Source organism: Homo sapiens, chromosome 4 (assembly GCF_000001405.40).
Source record: "Homo sapiens chromosome 4, GRCh38.p14 Primary Assembly".
NCBI lineage: Eukaryota > Metazoa > Chordata > Mammalia > Primates > Hominidae > Homo > Homo sapiens.
In genome coordinates, this window is record NC_000004.12 from 82,953,715 (window position 1) to 82,975,942 (window position 22,228).

Here is a 22,228-nt window from a genome sequence, read left to right on the forward strand (position 1 = left end):
CGAGGTGAGCAGATCACTTGAGCCAGGCAGTTCAAGACCAGCATGGGCAACATGGCAAAACCCCATCTCTACAAAAACTGAAAAAATTATGCAGGCATGGTGGCATGTGCCTACAGTCCTAGCCCTGAGGTGGGAGGATTGTCTCAGCCTGGGAGGTGAAGGCTGCAGTGAGCCACGATCGCACCACTGCACTCCAGCCTGGGTGACAGAGCAAGACCCCGTCTCAAAAACAAAAAAAATCAGGATCAAAATGATATAGAATCAAATACCAATTTAACCATTTCATAAAGTTAAAAAAAACTATCTGTTCCTGTACTTAATTTGTACTAAAGGAATGTTACATGTAAAAAAATAACATAAAATTAAATGATTTTCAAAATAGATAAATATTGGAGTAAGGAAGACTTATCCAAGTGTGACTCAAAAACTAAAAATTCACACATGAAGAGACTAAATTTTGACTTATTTAATGTGAAATTTCTGCAAGGAAAAACATTATATAGAACAAACCACAGAGAAAAATATTTGTAACCACATTAATAATAAAGAAATAAGTTCCTTAATGTACCACAGACATTTTTAAGACCACAAGGGAAAAAAGACAATGCAATAGGCATGGAGTTCACAGAAAATAAGTCCAGAAGACAGATATGAATAATTTTTAAAAATACAAATTTATATGAGATTATTTATTTATTTATTTATTTATTTATTTATTTTTAAGACGGAGTCTCACTGGGTCTTCCAGGCTGGAGTTCAGTGGTGTGATCTTGGCTCACTGCAACCTCTGCCTCCCCAGTTCAGGTGACTCTCCCACTTCAGCCTGCCAAGTAGTAGGAAGTACAGGTGCGTACCACCATGCCCGGCTAATTTTTGTATTTTTAACAGAGACGGGGTTTCACCATGTTGGCCAGGCTGGTATATGACATTTTTTAATCAGTTAAATTGGCAAAGACTGAAAATGACTAATTAACAGGAGAACATAAAAACAGACCACACCCAACACAATCAACTGACCTCTAACAAAGCACCAGAAGCAATTTAATGAAGAATGGATAGTCTTTTTCAACAAATGGTGCTGGTATAACAGAAGGTCCACATGCAAAAAAAGGAATCTAGACACAGACCTTACACCTTTCACATAGGGCTCACAGACCTAAACATAAAGTGCAAAACTATACAACTCCTAGAAGATAACATTTGGTAACCTTGAGTTTAGCTCTATCTTTTTAGATACACTACCAAAAGGACAATCCATGAAAGAAAAAACTGGTAAGTTAAACTTCATTAAAGTTAAAAACTGCTCTGCAAAAACCACTGTTAATATGATTCAAGAACATGATTTTTTAAAAATACACTGTTAAAAGAATGAACAGGCCGGGTACGGTGGCTCACGCCTGTAATCCTAGCACTTAGAGAGGCCGAAGGAGGCGGATCACTTGAGGTCAGGACCAGCCTGGCCAACATGTTGAAACCTCGTCTCTACTAAAAATACAAAAATTAACTGGGCTTGGTGGCATCCACTTGTAATCCCAGCAGCTCAGGAAGCTGACGCAAGAGAATCACTTGAACCTGGGAGGTGGAGGTTGCAATGAGTCGAGATTGCGCCACTGCACTCCAGCCTGGGCAACAGAGCGAGACTCCATCTCAAAAAAATAACATAACATAACATAACATAACATAACATAACATAACATAACATAACATAATGAACAGACAAGCCATAGATTGAGAGAAAATATCTGCAAAACACATGGTAAAAGGCAACAAGAAAAAGGAGATCATAAAACTAAGAGAAATATCAATCATTTCCAAACTTATAAAGACAGACATATAGAACTGGATCTCAATTCAAACGTAGTGAAAAAAATATGATGACTGGGGAAATGTGAACACTAACTAGGTATTTAATAACATTAAAGGAGCTAGGCATGGTGGCTCATGCCTGTAATCTCTGCACTTTGGGAGGCCAAGGTGGGAGGATCGCTTGAACTCAGGAGTTCAAGACCAGCCTAGGCAACACAGCAAGACCCCTATCTCATTACAAAAAAAAAAAATTAAAAGACTGTGCGTAAGTTTTTTTCCCAAAAGTGTCCCTATCTTTTCTATACATAAAGACACATCTACAGATGAAATGACATGATTAACCTAAAAAATGAGAAGCAGGGTGACAAAAAATAGGCAAGTTGATAATTCCAAAGTTGGATGAAAGGTACATGGGGGTTAATTGCTATTTCAACCTTTTAATATATTTGAAATTTTTTTGAGATGGAGTCTTGCTCTGTCACCCAGGCTGAAGTGCAGTGGCACAATCTCAGCTCACTGCAACCTCCACCTCCTGGGTTCAAGTGATTCTCCTGCCTTGCCTCCCAAGTAGCACCTGCTACCACGCGCGGCTAAATTTTTTAGTATTTTTAGTAGAAATGGGTTTTTGCCATGTTGGCCAGGCTGGTCTTGAACTCCTGATCTCAGGAGATCCACCTGCCTTGGCCTCCCAAAGTGCTGGGATTACAGGCGTGAGCCACCATGCCCGACCTATATTTTAAATTTCTATAGTAAGAGTGTTTTTTATTTTTTATTTTTTGAGACTTAGTCTCGCCTGGCCAACATGGCCAACATGGTGAAATCCCGTCTCAACTAAAAAAAAAAAAAGACTGTTTTTTAAAATATGGCAATAAGGGCTGGCCATGGTGGTTCATGTCTGTAATCCCAGCACTCTGGAAGTCCAAGGCAGACAAATCATTTGAGCCCAGGAGTTCAAGACCAGCCTGGGGCAACACAGTAAAACTACCTGGGAGGCTGAGGTGGGAGAATCACCTGAGCCTGGGAAGTTAAGGCTGCAGTGAGCTGTGATCGCACCACTGCACTCCTGCCTGGGTGACAGAATAAGACCGTTTCATTTAAATAACAATTTTTAAAAAGGCAACAGGACCCCACAGGTATTCAATCAACATAATATATAAATGCATAAAACAAAACCAATCTATATAACACAGTAAAAAGAATTTCTCATTCATTTATTCTTTCTGCCTCTTTTTTCTTTGGGGTGGAGGGGTGGGAGGAGTCTTTCTTCTTTTTCTTAAAAAAACATAGAGACAGGGTCTCACTATGTTGCCCAGGCTGGTCTCGAACTCTTGAGCTCAAGTGATTCTCCCACCTCAGTCTCCCAAAAAGTGCTGAGATTACAGGTGTGAGCCACCATGCCCAGCCATTTCTACTTCTTTATCCTGGCTAATGGGTACTGGTATAAAGATCTATATATAAGATAAAAATTTGGGTAACACAATCAATAGAACCTATGACTTGTAGTCACCTCAATTCCACAACACTTACTAATCTTACAATAATTGGTCAATATATTGGGAAAATGGATCCCATCCTTTTCAAATTGTATTCATTACCACCACAATTCAATTATGTAAGAGCTTCACAGATAAAAGCAAAAGCAATCAACTTCTGAAACCATTTCCCCAAGTCTGTTCTCATTTTCAACTTGGCAATACTGTCACTGGTCACATCACTTCCTGCCGGGATATTTGCAAAACACACTGAAAGTAAGCTTTATGATTCCAGTCTCTACCTGCCCACCACACAATTTCTGACAGACATTGATTCATAAAGCTTGAATCCACCACACAGACATTGCCTAACTAATATTTTGCAAACTTTACTTTCATGTTTTTATTAAATCTCTTGTCTCAGAAACATCCCAAGAGTCTCCATTTAATGACAAAATTAAGCCTAAATTTTCTTCGTTTTGAAGATTAGCCCTAATCTGACCCTATGTTTATTTTCTCTCCATTCCCTCCAAAGCATTTCCAATATTTCCGATTCATATTTCCAATCAGAGTAGTGATCTTCCTGTCCCATGTGTACTTACCTGTTTCAGCTCCAGTCCTTCACTCTTGTGGCTGACATCCATTCTAAACCATACCCATAGAAAACCTTAGCTTAGGATGCCCTCTCTAACCATCCCAACTGTAGTTGAATCCCCTTAGGTAGGATCTCATGACATAATTTATCTTTCTTTTCTTGGTTTTGTAAGTTTATATGTTTGTGTAATTATTTGATTCATTTGTCATACTCCCTTCCCCCACCCCTATAAACTTTAGGGTCTGTGTATCTATTTTTGCTCTCTACTGATTCCCCAAAAAGAGCACAGAAAATGCCCCTACCACATAGTAAGCACTCAGTAAATACTTGTTGTATGGTTAAAGAAGGAATACCAGGACTTCTTTCTTCCTCTTTCCTCTGCACTTTTATATCACCTAGTCTATACTACACAACTTAGCACCTATCTCATCACTCATTGTTTTACTTGCATTCTATTTTGTCTGCTGAACCATTGCAAGCTGTTCAACGTAAGCACAGGGCACACAGAGACCTCAATAAATACTTGATAGCCACTGATAATTACGAAATGGAAGAGTGTCTCTTTGTAACAAGAAGCCTTCATCATTGTTCAGACTCCCAGTTCACTGTACAACTAATGACAATTTACCTGTGTTTACGTAGCATTATTATGTATATATACAGATGATTATTCTACAGACTGCTTGCTGCTAACCAAAATCCATATTCTCTTCTGCTTCCTAGGGTTACAGCCAGATTATATTTCTTAGTCTCCCTTACAGTAAGGAGGGCCATGCAACTGAGTTTTAGCTAGTGAAATGAATGGATGCAATATGCATACTTCCAGGTCTGGTTCATAAAAGCTTCCTGTTTGTTCCTTTTCCATGTCTTTTCCCCTTCCAGCTCACTGGAATGGCAATAACCATCAGGGAGACTGGAAATATCACTTATCCAACTGTAATTTCCAGCCTATTGTCACTTCTGGCCTATTGTAAATATTTGCATTTAAAAATAAAACTGCTACGTTACTTTTTAAAGTGCAGTCAACAGAATCAAATCAACATAAGTGATTTGATGCCCACTATTATTTACTAGGTTTTAATTTTTTTAAATTTATTTTTGATTTATTTATTATTATTATTATTTTTGAGATGGAGTCTTGCTCTGGCTCCACTGCCCGTGCTGGAAGGCAGCGGCGCAATCTCGGCTCACTGCAAACTCCGCCTCCTGGGTTCAAGTGATTCTCCTGCCTCAGCCTCCCAAGTAGCTGGGATAACAAGCGTGTGCCACTACACCTGGCTAATTTTGTATTTTTAGTAGAGACGGGGTTTCACCGTGTTGGGCAGGCTGGTCGCAAACTCCCGATCTCAGGTGATCCTTCTGCCTCAGCCTCCCAAAGTGCTGGAATTACAGGCATAAGCCACTGTGCCCAGCCTATTTAATATGTTTTTAAAAATAAAATAAACCATTCTCTAATAGTCAGAAATTTGTATTTTTCCTTTTCTGTGAACTTGTCTTTGAATTCTATTTCATCTAAAAATTTTATCTTAATGTAACATTCTTATGCTTGAAATTCCTTTATCATACTTCCCTGAAACAAAAAAAAGGACGTAAATTGAAAATTTAAAAACATTAAAACATTGCTGTAGAGCTGATGGTGGTGGCTCATGTCTGTAATCCCAGCAACTCAGGAGGTTGAGGAGGGATACTAGAGGCCAAGAGTTTGAGACCAGCCTGGGCAACATCACATGACCGAGATTCCAAAAAAAATTTTTTTAATTAGCTGGGCATGGTGGTGCATACCTGTTGCCCTAGCTATTCAGGAGGCTGAGGCAAGAGGATTGCTTCAATCCAGGAGTCTGAGGCTATAATTAGCTATGATCACACCACTGCACTCCAGCCTAGGTGACAAAGCAAGACCCAATCTTGGAAAAAAACAAAAACAAAAACAAAAAAAACCCCAAAACCAAAAAACAAAACATTGCTCAAAATTATTTCATCTGATGGAGTTAACAATACAATTACTGTATGCAATTAACCAAAGCAATGGAAATAACAATTTGTACAAATATACTACAACATTAAAAATTTTATTGAAATGCATCTCTTACTAGATAGATGATGACACAAAAATTACTTCTTGTGTCCACAGATATTACATGTAGCTAGAGTAAGAACTCAGCAACAATTATATTCCTATTTTTCACAATTATAAACATTGAAAAACATTGTTCTCACAGATAAGTATGTATGAACAGGATTTTTATTGTAATAATATATTAATATTTTTAATTCCTTCTGAGTCTTATACCAAAAATTACATTATGTTCTACCATCACAAATTATTTTTAAGAAGTTGAAAAAATTATTCTTAATTATGTGAGAACTCACTTAAGTCTTCCTTCAACTTGGCAGAAGATAAAGATTGAAACCTATCTGAACTATAATAATCTGCAGTCATTCATTTTCTCAATTTCTAGGAAATTTATCAAAAAAGCTTTTTTACCAAAACATATCAAATGATAGGTGCCTTTTTTATCCTGATACATTCATAAATGGTTAGGAAAAATGTTTTTTAATTATTCACTACCTGGGTGAAATCACTTTCTTTTTTTTGAGACAGTCTTGCTCTGTCATCCAGACTAGAGTACAGTGGCATGATCAGAGCTCACTGTAACCTCAAACTGCTGGGATCAAGCCATCCTCCTGCCTCAAACTCACGAGTAGCTAGGACACTACAGGCACACACCAGCGGTGTGTAGAGTTGGGATCTCACTATGTTGCTTAAGATGGTCTCGGCCTCTCACAATCCTGCCACCTCAGCCTCCCAAAGCGTTGGGACTACAGGTATGAGCCATTGCATCTCAATTGTCCTTTTTTTTTTTGAGACAAGGTTTCACTCCATCACCCAGGTTGGAGTGAAGTGGTACAATTGTGGCTCAATGCAGCCTCAACCTCCTGGGCTCAAACCATCCTCCTGCTTCAGCCTCCCGAGTAGCTAGGACTACAGGCCCACACCACCACACCTGGCTAAGTTTTTATTTTTGTACAGGGGTGGGGTCTCATCATGTTCCCAGGCTGGTCTCAAACTCCTGGTGCCCAGTCTATGCCTTAATAAAGTTTTGGTTTACACAGATGTATGCATTTTATCTGAATTCATCCCGTGGTACCTTTAAGATTAGTGTATTTCAGTGTATAAGTAAATTTTACCAGCCAGGCGTGGTAGCTCATACATGTAATCCCAGCACTTTTGGGAGGCTGAGGCAGGTAGGTCGCTTGAACCCAGGAGTTTAAGACCAGCGTGGGCAACATGGTAAAAACCCATCTCTACAAAAAATACAAATATTAGCTGGGTGTGAGGCATGTGCGTGTATTCCCAGCTACTCAGGAGGCTGAGGCAGAAGGATCACTTCAGACCAGGAAGTCAAGGTTGCAGTGAGCCACGATCACGCCACTGCACTCCAGCCTGGGTGACAGAGTGAGATCCTGTTTCAAATAAATTTTTAAAAAATTTTTCTTTTGAACCTAAAAAAAAAAATTCCTTTGAACACATAGTAAAGTCTAGTTGATATACTTGATGGGCTATTTGGAGAGAAGTGTATTAAATATGTGCAACTTACTTTGAAGTACATTTTAACAAAAGATGATTAATAGATGGAAGTATGGATAGACATATATGATAATGCAACTACAGCCCAATGTTGAATCTAGAATTACAGAAGCTTCAAAGAATTCTACTCAAGCTACGAGACCTAGAAGTAGGAGGAGTTCAAGAAGATATATTGGTCACAGAAATCAGAGAAGTAAAAAATTTTTACTTAACCTTCTGTACACAGCTTATGCCCTGAAATTCTTCACATGGCAGTCAAGTACATTCTTCATTCAAAATGGCTATGTGACGGTTCATTACCTACCATAGGCCAGACAAACAGGAAAGATTTGTTGCAAAAATAAAGGCTGAAAAAAAAGAGTTCTCCACTGGGTAGGAGAGCAAAACTAATATGAAGCATATGTAAGGATGTCCAGGATAATTTGCATAGACTCTCAAAAGTAAAAAGAAGGATTTTCTAAAGATGCATTTCTGTTCACCATGAAAACATTAAGAAGGCCAGGCGTGGTGGCTCACGCCTGTAATCCCAGCACTGACAGGCTGAAGCGGGCGGATCACCTGAGGTCAGGAGTTTGAGACCAGTCTGGTCAACATGGTGATACCCCGTCTCTACTAAAAATACAAAAAAATTAGCCAGGCTGTAGTGGCACATTCCTGTAGTCCCTGCTACTTGGGAGGCTGAGGCAGGAGGATCGCTTGAACCCTGGAGGCGGAGGTTGCAGTGAGCCAAGATGGCACCACTGCACTCCAGTCTGGGCAACAGAGTGAGACTCTGTCTCAAAAAAAAAAAAAAAGAAAAAACACATTTATTCATCCAACATTACACAAAGTATGACCAGGCCTTACATTTTAGGAGTATTTACCCACCATAAGACTTTTACGAATGGGAAAGAAAGAGCTCTCTAGGAACCTAACCCTAATTTCTTTTTTTGGATATAGAGTCTTGCTATGTTGCCCAGGCTGGCCTTGAACTCCTGGACTCAAGCAATCTTCCCACCCCAGCCTTCCAAGTAGCTGGAACTACAAGTGTGTGCCATTACATCTGGCTTAACCCTCATTTATTTGACCCAATCCCACAGAACCAAAGCAGACCTTTATATTCCCTTGAATTTCAGCTCTAAAAGTTCAACTTTTTCTAATCAGTTTTGGTATGAATCACTGACCTGGATTCACTCTTTGCACTAAGTTACCTACTTTTAATAGAATATGGTTTCTCTACTGCAGTGGTATAAACTTAAAAAAATTTATTTTTAAACTTAAAATCCAGACGGACATTCTAGTAATAAAATGAGAGCCAGACTCAGAGATGATCCAGATGTTACAACCATCATATAAGAACTTTATGATTAATTAATCAAGCTAGTAGAAAAGACGGACAACAGATAATGAATATAAAAGGAATTTCAGCAGAGAGATGGGAACTCTAAGAGTCAAATGGTAGCTTGACAGATGAGTAGATAGCATAAATAAAAAAAGGGCCAAATGAAAATGCTAGAAATTAAAAAAAAAATCACAAATGAAGAAGTCTTTAATAAGCATATTTGTAGACTCCAAACAACTGAGAAAATAATCAATAAATTTAAAGATATGTCAATCAAAATTATATTAATTGAAACACAAAGAAAAAAAAAACTAGGGAGAAAAACAATTGAGCATCCAAGAGCTGTGGAACTCTATTAAATATACTAAAATCTTTAAAACTGAACTCTTAAAATGAGAAGATCAAAGTTAAGTTTAAGAACTATTTGAAGAAAAGTGACCCAAGTTTTCTGAAAGTAAAAGACATCAAATCATAGATCCAAGAAGATTTCAAATCAGAATATATATTTAAAAAAGAAATGAGCAACAACAAAACACACAACGCACATTTAGACACACAATAGTCCAAACGCAGAAATCCAAATATAAAGAGAAAATCTTGAAAACAGGAAAAAAAAAGACATTATATACATAGAAAAAAGTATTAAAAATTACAGTATACTTCTTGCCAGAAACAATGCAATCCAGAAGGCAATAAATGACATCTTTAAAGTACTCGCAGAAAAACTCTCAATTCTTTACCCAATGAAAATATCTTTTAAAAATAATGGCAAGATACAAATTTTTCAAACAAGCAAAAGCTGAGAGAATCTATTGTCAGTAGTCTTTCATTAAAAGAAACATTTTAAAAAGTTCTTTAGAGATGAATTCGACACCAGCCTGAGATTTGGACCTACCCAAAGCAAGGAAGTATATAGGATATGGTTAAAATGAAAGCAAATAAAGGACTTGTTTTTCTTATTTTCAATTGCTTCACAAGGTAATTTTGTCTAAAGCTAAAACAGTAAAATGGGTTATGGAATTTATAACATGTAAACATAAAATGTTTAACAACAATAGCATACAGAACAGGAGGGAGAAATCGGAAACACTCTATTGTAAGTTTCTTACCCTACATTAAGTAATATAAATTGGAAAGTAGACTGTGATAAGTCAAAATGTATATTTGATTGTAGAGCAACCACTAAAAAAAAAAAAATCTTTGTACTTATAACAAGCCAAACGTGGAGATAAAATAGAATCATGAAAAACTTCAATTAACCAAAAAAGGGCAGGAAAACAGTTAAAGAAAGAACATAAAGATGAGACAAAGAGAAAACTAGTAAGGTGCAAGATTTAAATCCAATCATATCAACAATTACATTAAATATAAAGGGTTTAAAATATTTTTATATTGACCATGTTATATAATCACTTTGCTAAATTTATAATTTATACATTAATTCTAATAGTTCCATAGTAAATGCCTTAATTTTTTATGTATATAATAATGTAATATGTGAATTATGACATTTTTTAACTTTCTTTTGAACCTCTATACACTTATTCCTCCCTCCCTCCTTTTTTTTTTTTGAGACGGAGTCTCACTCTGTTGCCCAGGCTGAAGTGCAGCGGTACAATCTTGGCTCACTGCAACCTCCACCTCCCAGATTCAAGAAATTCTCCTGCCTCAGCCTCCCAAGTAGCTGGGACTACAGGCGTGTGCCACCACACCTGGGTAATTTTTGTATTTTTAGTAGAGATGGGGTTTCACCATGTTGGCCAGACTGGTCTCAAACTCCTAACCTCAAATGATCTTCCCGCCTCGGCCACCCAAAGTGTTGGGATTACAGGTGTAAGCCACCATGCCCCCCAGCCACTTACTCTTTTTTCTTGCCTTATTGCATTAATTCAGACCTGCAGTAGAATTAAACAAGTATTGAAAGTGGGAATCCTTGTTCAACACTGTACCATTACATAAAGTTTGATATATTTTTCTCCCTTTTCAAATTATGAAAGTGTCCTTCTATTTTTGTGGGTTCAAGTATTTCAACCAAAATGGAGGTTGGATATCAGGATTCTTCTGCAGGTATTAAGACTGTCATAAAATTCTTTTTCTATTATTGTAAATTAGATGGATAGATTTTTGGCTATTAAGCTACTTTGTTAAGGATGAGCTTGCTGTTAAGTGAATGAAAAAAAATTTAACCCAGGTGATTAAAAAGCTTTATTGCTCAAAAAAAAAGAAAAAAAAGAAAAAAATTTAAAAGGCCGGTGCAGTGGCTCATGCCTGTCATCCCAGCACTTTGGGAGGCTGAGTTGGGTAGATCACTTGAGGTCAGCCTAGCCAACATGGCGAAACTACATGTCTACTAAAAATATATAAATTAGCCGGGCATGGTGGCATAGCTACTGGGGAAGCTGAGGCAGGAGAATCACTTGAACCCGGGAGGCAGAGGTTGCAGTGAGCCAAGATCGCGCCACTGCACTCCAGCATGGGCAACAGAGGTGAGAGTCCGTCTTCAAGAAAAAATACTCCATCTTCAAGAAAAAATAAATTTTTTTTAAAGAAAAATTTTGAAGAAAGCTGTATTTCTTGTATTTCTGAGAGAAATTGAAAAGGGCCATGTAAAAAATAATACTAAGAGTCTAAGAATAAGATTACAAAAGTCACATTAAAGTAAAAGATAACAGCATTGCTAAAATCTAATCAAGAATAAAGTAAAACAAGCAGAATCACATTTTTATTAGTTTAATGCTTAGTTGCATATCTAATAAATATTGAAGAAAACCGAGGATTACTTTAGAAAATAAATATAATAGAATAAATCTGTCCTGTAATAAGAGACAATTACAATATAAAGTAAATTGAGAAAACACTAGCCATGCTTGATTTCCCAACAACAAACCTAGTAACATTAGATTCAAAGCTGGAGGAGGGAGTGAAAACAGTCTGAAATTGTAATGAGAATAATCATGGGAAACACCTAGGCTTCCAGGCCTGGAGGCATAAGAGCTGAAGGAGAAAAAGAGCTATCACTTAATAGGTCTGCAGGTGAAGCAGGGTCCTCAGGGAGACCCAGGTATCCATTACAGCAAGGAGATAAAAGGAACATTCAATGAAAAGGTTGTGAATTTAGGGAATTATTATTTTGATTATGAACTCCAGAAAAGGCACAGTGGAAGGACTTCAAGAGAGGCATGGGTGGAAAAGGGGTCAGAAGATAGCAAGAGCTTTAAGGAGATTAGATGCGGGAGATGAAAGATGATCTCAGTCGGGGTGGTTGAGGCTACCCAGTATCAACAAAGATAAATAATGAGAGGAGTCTCAGCAGACTCAAGGCAGATAGCAGTGAGACTGTTGAGTGCTGGTGGGTAGGGAAGGGTGAGTGCTTCAGCTTTCCTTTTGGCCTCTATCAATAGAAACAAGGAGATCTTCAGCAAATCCTCACTTTTTAGTCATTTTCGTAATTGACTTTTCTATGACATTTGAAATTGTGGCCTAGTATCCTTTTTGAAATTATCTTCCCTTCACATTTTGTTTAGTTTCTACTAATAACCCCCTTATCATTTACTCTCTCCCACTGGCTCCTTTTCTTCTACTAACACTTAGTATTTTATGGTTCAGTCCTGCTTTTCTTTTCGCTCTACATACAATCTGATGCTCCTTGGGTGATTTCATCTATATCCATAGTTTCAGTGACTGCCTACATTCAGTTTCACAATGGACATCCTCGTCTAGATAATCTGTGGGTACTTCAATGACAAAAATGTCCAAAAACTAAACATCTCTCTGCCCAAGCCTATAGTACTGCTATATTCTAGTATGAGATAGGATGGGATATTTTCTGCTATCTCAGAATCTGGCTGAAGTGAGGCCCCAAAGCTAAACAAAAAATGACAAACTCCTGCACACTCTAAAAAGGACATCCATGCCAGACTTACTAAACGATGGTATCCCTATCATCTACCTCCTATTAAAAAAAAAAAAAAGACAGAAATAGAAGAGAATTTGCAAACATGGAGAATGCCAGGGCTTTACATCTCAGTGAGGGGGGAAAAAAAACCAACAAAAAAAAACACCTCTGAGACAGAGTAGGTGACAACTGCAAGGAGAAACTGACATCTGAATCTTTAGGTTTTTTTGGTTTCGTTTACTTTTTGAGACAGTCTCATTCTGTCAACCAGGCTGGAGTGCAGTGGCACAATCTCAGCTCATTGCAACCTCCGCCTCCCCGGTTCAAGCAATTCTCCTGCCTCAGTCTTCCAAGTGGCTAGGATGTGCCACCATGCCCAGCTAGTTTTTGTATTTTTAGTAGAGACAGGGTTTCACCATGTTAGCCAGGCTGGTCTCGAACTCCTGTCTCAGGTGATCTGCCCACCTCAACCTACCAAAGTGCTGGGATTACAGGCATGAGCCACCACACCCAGCCCCGACATCTGAATCTTTTTTGGCTATCAACTTATTAAGATAAATAAGCTTAGCCGTTACGTCTGTAATCCCAGCACTTTGGGAGGCCGAGGCAGGCAGATCATGAGGTCAGGAGATCGAGACCCTCCTGGACGACATGGTGAAAACCCATCTCTACTAAAAATAGAAAAATTAGCTGGGTGGTGGCACATGCCTGTAATCCCAGCTACTCGGGACGCTGAGGCAGGAGAATTGTTTGAACCCAGGAGGTGGAGGTTGCAGTGAGCCGAGATGGCGCCACTGCACTCCAGCCTGGTGACAGAGCAAGACTCCATCTCAAAAAAAAAAAAGAAAAAAGAAAAAAAAGGAAAAAAGAAACTTAGCTGTATCTTGGTTTAACCACCAGAACTAAATGCAGCGAGAGTTCCTGGGATAACCTGACAGATATCCTCAAGAGTTTATTCAGAGAATATGTGAACACAGAAACTGGTCCCAGCCTGGAAAATTCTGCAAGAAAGAAGATGGCTGCAGCTGTCACAATGGTAGGGCAAAGATTTAGAGGACAGCAGTTAGGCAAGCTGCACTTTTACCACTGGGTTCTAGAAGTTTCCCACTGGCCATGTAGATGCTGCAGAAGGGCTAAGACATCTTGATGGGACCCTGCCAAAGCCATGTACCTTCTGGAGTAAAGGTACTCAGGAGTGCCAGACGTAGACTACAGGAATGAAGAGCTAAAGGGAGGCTGCAAAAGGCAGCTGGAGAGTACACCATATCCCTGACAGGGAACTTGGCAATGTGGCAATAACCCACAGGAAGGGCTCCAAAAAAACCATCCTGAGTGAATATCTCCATTAAGTCCACATTTGGACACCTGTCACACAGAGGGCACCAGAAGCTGGATTACAATAGTCTCAGTCAAACAAAACCTTGTCCTTTCTCCTTTAATCTTCCTTCTGATCAGAAGACAAAATCAGAAAGGGAGAGGAGGTTGAAGAGTGACGAAACAGATCATGCTCCTCTTCTCCACCGCGAATCCCTGAGCCATGGTTAGATCTCACCTGAACGATAGATAAGCTTTCAACCGGATGTAAGCTTTTGACTGTACATTTCACACCTGTGAATTTTAATAACCAAAACAAGCTTGTTTTTGTTTTTTGTTTTTTTTTTTTCTGGAGACAAGAGTTTCGCTTTTGTTGCCCAGGCTGGAATGCAATGGCAGGATCTCAGCTCACCGCGACCTCTACCTCCTGGGTTCAAGCAATTCTCCTGCCTCAGCCTCCCGAGTAGCTGGGATTACAGGCATGTGCCACCAAGCCCAGCTAATTTTGTATTTTTTTTGTAGAGACAGGGTTTCTCCATGTTGGTCAGGCTGGTCTCAGACTAAAACAAGCTTGTTCTTATAGTTAAGTGTAAAATCTTGCCAAGAGTCAAGAAAGGAAGATCCAATATGGCAGGGCTAAAGTCAAGGATGGGAAAAAAATAAAGCCAGTTCCTATTCGTATGTCATCAGGTATAAACCATATACCAGTCAAATTAGTCCATAGGGCTACCATCTACCCCGTTATCTAAGTCAGAAATACAGGAGTCATCCTAGATTCTCCCCCTAAGATACTGAACCTCTTTCAACACATCTCTCTTCCTCTTTAGCCCCTGAGCTACTAGTGTAGTTCAAACATGAAGTACTGCAATAATCTCTTAGTGATTCTCTACCCTGGCCTACACTTTTAAAAGATTAAATTTAACACACAGGCCGCAGCCTAGAGATTCTGATTTAAATGGGGTCAGGTAGGGGCCTGCCATTAGTTTTCTCAAGAGGTCCCCAGTACTAACTGCAGCCAAGGTTGAGAATCACTAACCTAACTGGTCTCTCCCACAATACAGGCTCACCTTCCCCCAAACTATCTCTCATAATGCCACAAGATTCGTATTTTTAAAAATGCAAATTTCATATTATTTATAGCAGTGGTTCCCAATCTAGGCTACCCACTAGAATCACTTAAAGAGCTTTGTAAAATCCTGATACCAGGTCAAGTCTGGAGAGATGAAAACAGAATCTCTGGGGATGAGAACTAGGCGTCGGTATTTATTAAAACTCTCCAGGTGATCCCAATAAGCAGATAAGGGCGAGAATCACTGTCCTAGAAGCAATGAGAAGCCACAGAAGTCCAAACTCCCCTGAAGATAAAGAAACCGTCCATCTAACCTTAGCACCCTCGGCTCTCACACTGCAAAAATCAGTGAGGCTTCCTGAAAGACCACACTTTTACACCTTTATGTAAAGTATCACCTCAATCCAGAAATCCCCTTCTGCTCATCTGGAGCTAAGTCCAACCCACGTTTAAGGTTAAGACCTTTCAAGAATAAGCTCCTTTGTATAAACCTTCCCTGCCAAACACACAGCAGTCATTAATCCATCTATGACCATTGTAATTCTGTAGGACAATTTTTAATGTTTCAGTCTAACTACCTTATTGAATTCCTTGAAATGAAATACCTTATCTTATTCATGTTTTATCCTCAGTGCCTATCACTATGCATGGCACAGTTACCCTCAAATTTCTGCCAAATTCATTCAATTTAGGGAAAAAGTTATGCAGGTAGAATTTGACCTTAATAAACTGTATGAGATAACATATTTGTACATTATAGTCAAGGCTCATTAAAGAAACCAACACCTGGACTTTAAAAAATGTAAGGCAAATGTTTAACGTTTGTTCTATTTATGAACAGTAACAAATCAAAGAAAGCAGGTGCAAAGGGCAGTATTGTTTCCAGAGTCACAAGCGTGAAACCTAACAAAATAATAATGCTTGGCTTTCTATCTGAATAATATGTCCTTTAAAACATATCTTTTTCAAAATGTTATGCTGGTATAATAACAACTGTATGTTTTAGGAAAGTGAGTTAGATGACTTACTTTGCCTCACAATAAAATAAGAAAGCATTTGAATGCTTCCAATAAAATGTATTCAAGCTTAAACAACACTGATAATATGGCTACCAGCATCTGATGGCAATTTCTACTACTCTGGGTCCTGTTACCAAGCAAAAGTTCAGATCTCCATTTTTTAAAGTTACATTTAATATTTTATATCATAAGTCTATATGTACCTTCCACAAATACAATAATTTTGCTAAAATATTAACTAAAGAAGAACTAAACACCTACATTATTGAATTTATTCAAGATTTTGTTGTACCCACATTCATATGGGCTATGGAAATCATATTCACATGCAAAATGATTACTATGTTACTATGTGTTTAAAGTAAGCTTTTTAATCTGTCAGACATCCTTGATTACTAAATTAATCCAGTATTCATTGAATGTCTATTACTTGCTTGGGAATGTACTAAAATTGAAGTATCTGAAGTGACTAGTAAGAAAATAAAGGCATCAACCACAATATTTGGTATTTGTGGCTAATTTATTTTTTTACCTTATTTGGCGATTTCAAAGGTGAGATGGCTATTTTATTTGGTGTCTGTGTTGTAGAATTTAAAGTTGATCCAATAACACCACTTTCAGATATTGTTATGGTCTTTGATGGAGTTCCGGGAGTAGACTGTGAAAGAACCCTACCTGCAAATGAGAGGCAGCACATCAGTTTGACTTTTTTCAATAATAGTATAAAAATTTATGTGATGATGCTCTACACTCACAAGGACTGCAGAATGTATGTTTGTTATTTCATGTCAACACTTAATGAGGCACTAATGAACTATGGTAAACCTAGGCAGAACTAAACAAAACACTACTTCTTAGTAATACTTAATATCAGCTTACATTAAACTCTACAAAAACAGTTTAGTTCATGTGTTCATCAATACTGTTGTTATATCCATCAGAGAGAAAGCTCAGGGCAACTAAGTAATGTGCCCTGTGTAACACAGCTCCTGAAAGTCAGAACATGAACCCAAGTCTTAAAACTTCAATCTCTGTATTCTACTATCTATAGCTGTCTTCCCATATGAACTTAAACCATGAAGGTACAATTGAAATCCACACTTATAAAACAGATAGTTATTGGACTAACTTAAACACTGAAAGGTTTAATACTACCTGATTTTAGACTGCCAAAGGGGATAAAAAAATGTTTTTTCTACCCACCCCGGCCAGATTCCATATTGTGTTCCCTTCTGGACAAGACCCTTCAGGAACAACCATGAAAAACTCTAGTGTCTGGATGCTTGGGGAACTGAAAACCATATTACATTGAGTTGAAATATCAGGAATTTTTATCCTAGGTAAGAAAAGACTACAAAGACATAACAGATCTTCAAATTCTTGAAGACTGTGTGATAGCCATTATTCCCATTCACCAAGTATTCTAGCTTTCTTCCATTCTGGACACATGGTAGAACTACACTTGCACTTCCTACCACTCCCACCCCATCTTGTAGTTAAGTTAGAGTCATGTCACTACTCCTGGCAGACGAGTTATGAGTAGAAGTGACGTGTGTCATTCTTGGGCCACAGCATTTATTACTGCCTATGCAAGACCTTCCAAAGTTTATTTTCCTCTGCCATCTGAGATGGCGGCTCCTTGGTTAGCCTGTGTCCCTGAGTTGCTATGAAGAGAAGATACCTTTTTGAACCCACAATGGTCATATAGATAATCAATTTTTAAATTTTTTTTAAATTGAATTTAAAAAAAAAAAACAGGTTTTTTACCCTTCTGAGGTTTGGAGATTATTTTGGCAGAAAAACCAAGATTATCCTAACTGATCCAGGCTGTCAGGTTAAAGGATTAGAACCAATCTGTATCACATCAAATGCAGAGAAACAGAAAATATTTCAGCTCAGCACTAAGAAAGAACTTCTAACAAAAATTTCCAACTGAAATGACTATTTCAACACAAGTGAGTTTCTAGTCACTAAAGGTGTCCCAGGCAGATGCTGGATAATCAAATATACCGGCTAAAGAGGAAAGTCAAGCATCTAAGAAGTAGAGAAGATTGATAACTAAATTATCTCTAGAATCTGCTCTAACCTTTAGATACTATGATTAAACTCATAGATCCAGCTAGAGATGAAGGAGAGAGCATGACAGTGAGGAGAAAGGGAAAGAGAGAAAGAAGGGACTTTCACTTTAGACAAAAATAAAGAACTAATGCTTAGCAGCTTCTGGGCCATTTTTCCTGACAACAATGCCAAAGTATGCCTTTTGTTTTGTTTTGTTTTGAGACAGGGGTCTCCCTCAGTCACCCAGGCTAGAATGCAGTGGCGTGATCATAGCTCACTGCAGCCTTGAACTTCTGGGCTCAAATGATCCTCCCATCTCAGCCTCCTGAGTAGCTGGGACCACAGGCACGTGCCACCATGCTTAGCTATTTTTTTTTTATTTTTTTTAGACAATGGAGTTTTGTCATGTTGCCCAGGCTGGCACAGTTTCTTTTTTAAAAAGTGAATCAAGTTTTATCCCCATCTATGAATTTTTAAAGTATTTTCAATACAATTTTCAAAATTTCTTTGTAGTACATAGATTAATTTTAATGACATTCTGCCAGGTTTTTTAAAAACCTGAATACATCATAATTACATAAAGTCAATTCTAAATAAACCAAACGAATCTACATCAAATAGGTTTAGAGAGCCGCCCTAAAGTATTCAGCCTGCCTAAAGTAACATGTTTGTCTATTCTGGTTTCCAAAGCTAATACCTGTGAGATAAGTATGAAGCCCCAATAACCATTCTGTTAAGAAAAGAAATTACCAGTAAAGACACAGTTTCATAAAATGTTCATTATTTATAGCCACTGCTATAATTTCATGTGTTAGGAATTACATATCTTTCAAATAATATTCATATAGAGCTGGACACAGTGGCTCACGCCTGTAATCCCAGCACTTTGGGAGGCCGAGGCAGGTGGATCACGAGGTCAGGAATTCGAGACCAGCCTGGCCAACATGGTGAAACCCCGTCTCTACTAAAACTACAAAAATTAGCCAGGCGTGGTAGCGTGCGTCTATAATCCCAGCTACTCGGGAGGCAGAGGTTGCAGTGAGCTGAGATTGCGCCATTGCACTCCAGCCTGGGCAACAAGAGCAAGAATCCCTCTAAAAAAAAAAAAAAAAAAAAAAATTCATACAGAAAATCCGCAATTCCTGAGGATAACTGGTATCAGAAAAAGGCAACTTGATGTTAATTCACTTAAAACAGGAACAAAAGTTTCATTATAAATTACAAAACTAAAAGTAATAAAACTTTTACTATCTTTCTGTGGCCTACGTTTTTTAAAAATTCAGTTTATAATTGCAACTATACTAACTCTTAAGATGAACAAAGAAAAAAATCAGCTGTTGAGTTTTGGGGAGAGAGATTGCTTCTGAAAATTTGGACGACAGCAAAATGATAAATTATGTCGATAATGATAAATGGGCACAACATACTCATAAAGCAGGTCATTTCTACCAAAATATTTCTAGATTTCATCAATTTTCCCAAGAACCTTGATATCCTTTGAAATTCAAGTTATTCTTTTTGAGGGTCTGCTTGGTTTTCATCCTGGTAGCATTTCTGATTATCTAATCTAACCTCCAAATCCCTATTTATCCTTAGTTCCACTGATTCAAGCAAGCATGCAAGTTACATAATTTGACCTTGAAATTAATTTCTGTTGTCAGGTATTCTCCAAGAATCAAAAGAGACACACTCCATAAAGCCACATATTGAATAGGCTGGGGCAGGAAGCTAGAATATTTGAGTAAGGCCAAATTCTTTAAGAGATTAATTTTACATTGTGATGAAGCTTGCTCCCATGAAGCAACCTTCTACCTTGAGAGGTGTGATAATGAGAACCTCTATTATCTCATGTAACCATTTCAAGTCTTGTCAGGTGGCTGGTATCTACATTTTACTAAACTAAGATGAACAAAATAATGTATTTACCGAAGATCATAGAGAAAATCAACAGAAGACCCATGACTGAAAACCCAAGTTTCCCAATAGCTCCTACTGTATCACTATAGTGCCTCCATGATATACATATTCATGCAACAATATGCATTCACAGAACTACATCAAAGTGCCAAAAATAGGAGCAGGGCACAGTGGCTCATGCCTGTAATCCCAGCACTTTGGGAGGACAAGGAGGGTGGATCACGAGGTCAGGAGATTGGGACCATCCTGGCTAACACGGTGAAACCCCATCTCTACTAAAAATACAAAAAATTAGCTGGGTGTGGTGGCAGGCACCTGTAGTCCCAGCTACTTGGGAGGCTGAGGCAAGAGAATGGCGTGAACCCAGGAGGCGGAGCTTGCAGTGAGCCGAGATCGCACCACTGCACTCCAGCCTGGGTGACAGAGCAAAACTCCCTCTCAAAAAAACAAACAAACCAAAAAAAAAAGGTGCCAAAAATTGTGCTAGGTTCTGGGAAGGTGGGGACAGAGGAGAAAGAGAAAGAGTGAGAGAAACAAGATAAAAGAACCATCAATACAGTACATACATAAATACATTGGAACATAATTCTGCCTTAAAAAGAAAATTCTGATATATACTACAACACAAATGCACCTTAAGGACATTATGCTAAGTGAAATAAGCCAATCAAAAAAAAAGGGCAATGGCTGGGCGTGGTGGCTCACACCTGTAATCCCAGCACTTTGGGAGGCCGAGGTGGGCAGATCACCTGAGGTCAGGAGTCCGAGACCAGCCTGGCCAACGTGGTGAAACACCATCTCTACTAAAAATACAAAAATTAGCCGGGCGTGATGGCACACACCTGTAATCCCAGCTACTTGGGAGGCTGAAGCAAGAGAATCACTTGAACCCAGAAGGCAGAGGTTGCAGTGAGCCACGATCGCACCACTGCATTCCAACCTGGGCGACAGACTGAGACTCCATCTTAAATCCCAGCTACTTGGGAGGTTGAGGCAGGAGGATCACTTGAACCCGGGAGGCACAGGTTGCAGTGAGCCAAGATCACACCACTGCACTCCAGCCTGAGTGACAGAGTGACAGACTGTCTCAAAAAAAAAAAAAAGCAAAAACGTAGATACAAAAGTGGGATGGTGGCTGCCGGAAGCTGGATTGGGGAAGGAAGAATAAGGAGTTTTTGTTTAATGGGCACAAGATTTCAGTTTTGCAAAAAGAAAAAGTTTTAGAGACGGGATGGTGGTGATGGTTGTATAACAATGTGAATGTACTTAATGCCAATGAACTATACACTTAAAACAGTTAACATGAGGCTGGGTGCAGTGGCTCACATCTGTAATCCCAGCACTTTGGAAGGCTGAGGCAGGTGGATCACTTGAGGTCATAAGTTCAAGACCAGCCTGGCCAAAATGGTGAAACCCCTTCTCTACTAAAAATACAAAAATTAGCCGGATGTGGTGGAGTGTGCCTGTAGTCTCAGCTCCTTGGGAAGCTGAGGCAGGAGAATCACTTAGTGAGTTGAGATCACGCCACTGCACTCCAGCCTGGGTGACAGAGTGAAACTGCATCTCAAAAAAAAAAAAAGTTAAGATGGTAAATTTTGTGTTATGTATATCTTACCACAATTTTTTAAAAATAAGTTTTTTAAAAGAACTACATGATGAGGCCAGGCGCGGTGGCTCATGCCTGTAATCCTAGCACTTTGGGAGGCTGAGGTGGGCGGATTAGCTGAGGTTAGGAGTTCGAGACCAGCCTGGCCAACATGGTGAAACCCCGTCTCCACTAAAAATACAAAAAATTAGCCGGGCATAGTGGCAGGCACCTGTAATCCCAGCTATTCAGGAGGCTGAGACAGGAGAATCACTTGAACCCAGGAGGCGGATGTTGCAGTGAGCCGAGATCGCGCCATTGCACTCCAGCCTGGGCAAAAAGAGCGAAAACTCCATCTAAAAAAAAAAAGAGAGCTAGATGAACAAAAAAACAAAAAAAACTACCATCATGAAAAATCATAAGGGGTATGGGGAGACAGACAAGAAAACCAAGATTTATAATACAGTATGACTAATGGATAACTCAAAGCCAGTGTGAAATTTAACAGAAGTTTAAGATAAGTACTTGGTAAGTATAACCAAGTTTTATGGAAATAAATAGGAAATGATCAGAGAAAGAGTATCTGAT

At 38.7% G+C, this 22,228-nt stretch overlaps 1 protein-coding gene across 10 annotated transcripts in view, besides 1 other annotated feature; it reads right to left on the minus strand.

Annotated features, from left to right (window-relative positions):
• LIN54 (lin-54 DREAM MuvB core complex component) overlaps positions 1-22,228 on the minus strand; it is an 88,339-nt gene that overhangs the window by 29,112 nt on the left and 36,999 nt on the right. For 7 of the 10 annotated variants that reach the window (NR_110253.2, NM_001115007.3, NM_001437261.1 and 4 more), the window contains 1 exon segment: positions 16,613-16,755. The exons of 2 other annotated variants lie outside the window; for them this stretch is intronic. Coding sequence is in view for 6 of the 8 variants with exons in the window: in NM_001115007.3 (NP_001108479.1) it covers positions 16,613-16,755 (143 nt within the window). In the remaining 2 variants the exon portion in view is untranslated. 10 annotated transcript variants of the gene reach the window in all.
• Positions 12,870-13,073: a silencer, noted in NCBI's record as "fragment chr4:83887737-83887940 (GRCh37/hg19 assembly coordinates)". NCBI's record gives its function as "represses an EF-1alpha promoter that drives an FKBP-Casp9 reporter gene in an ReSE screen in K562 erythroleukemia cells {active_cell/tissue: K562}" and the evidence as "EXISTENCE:reporter gene assay evidence [ECO:0000049][PMID:32094911]".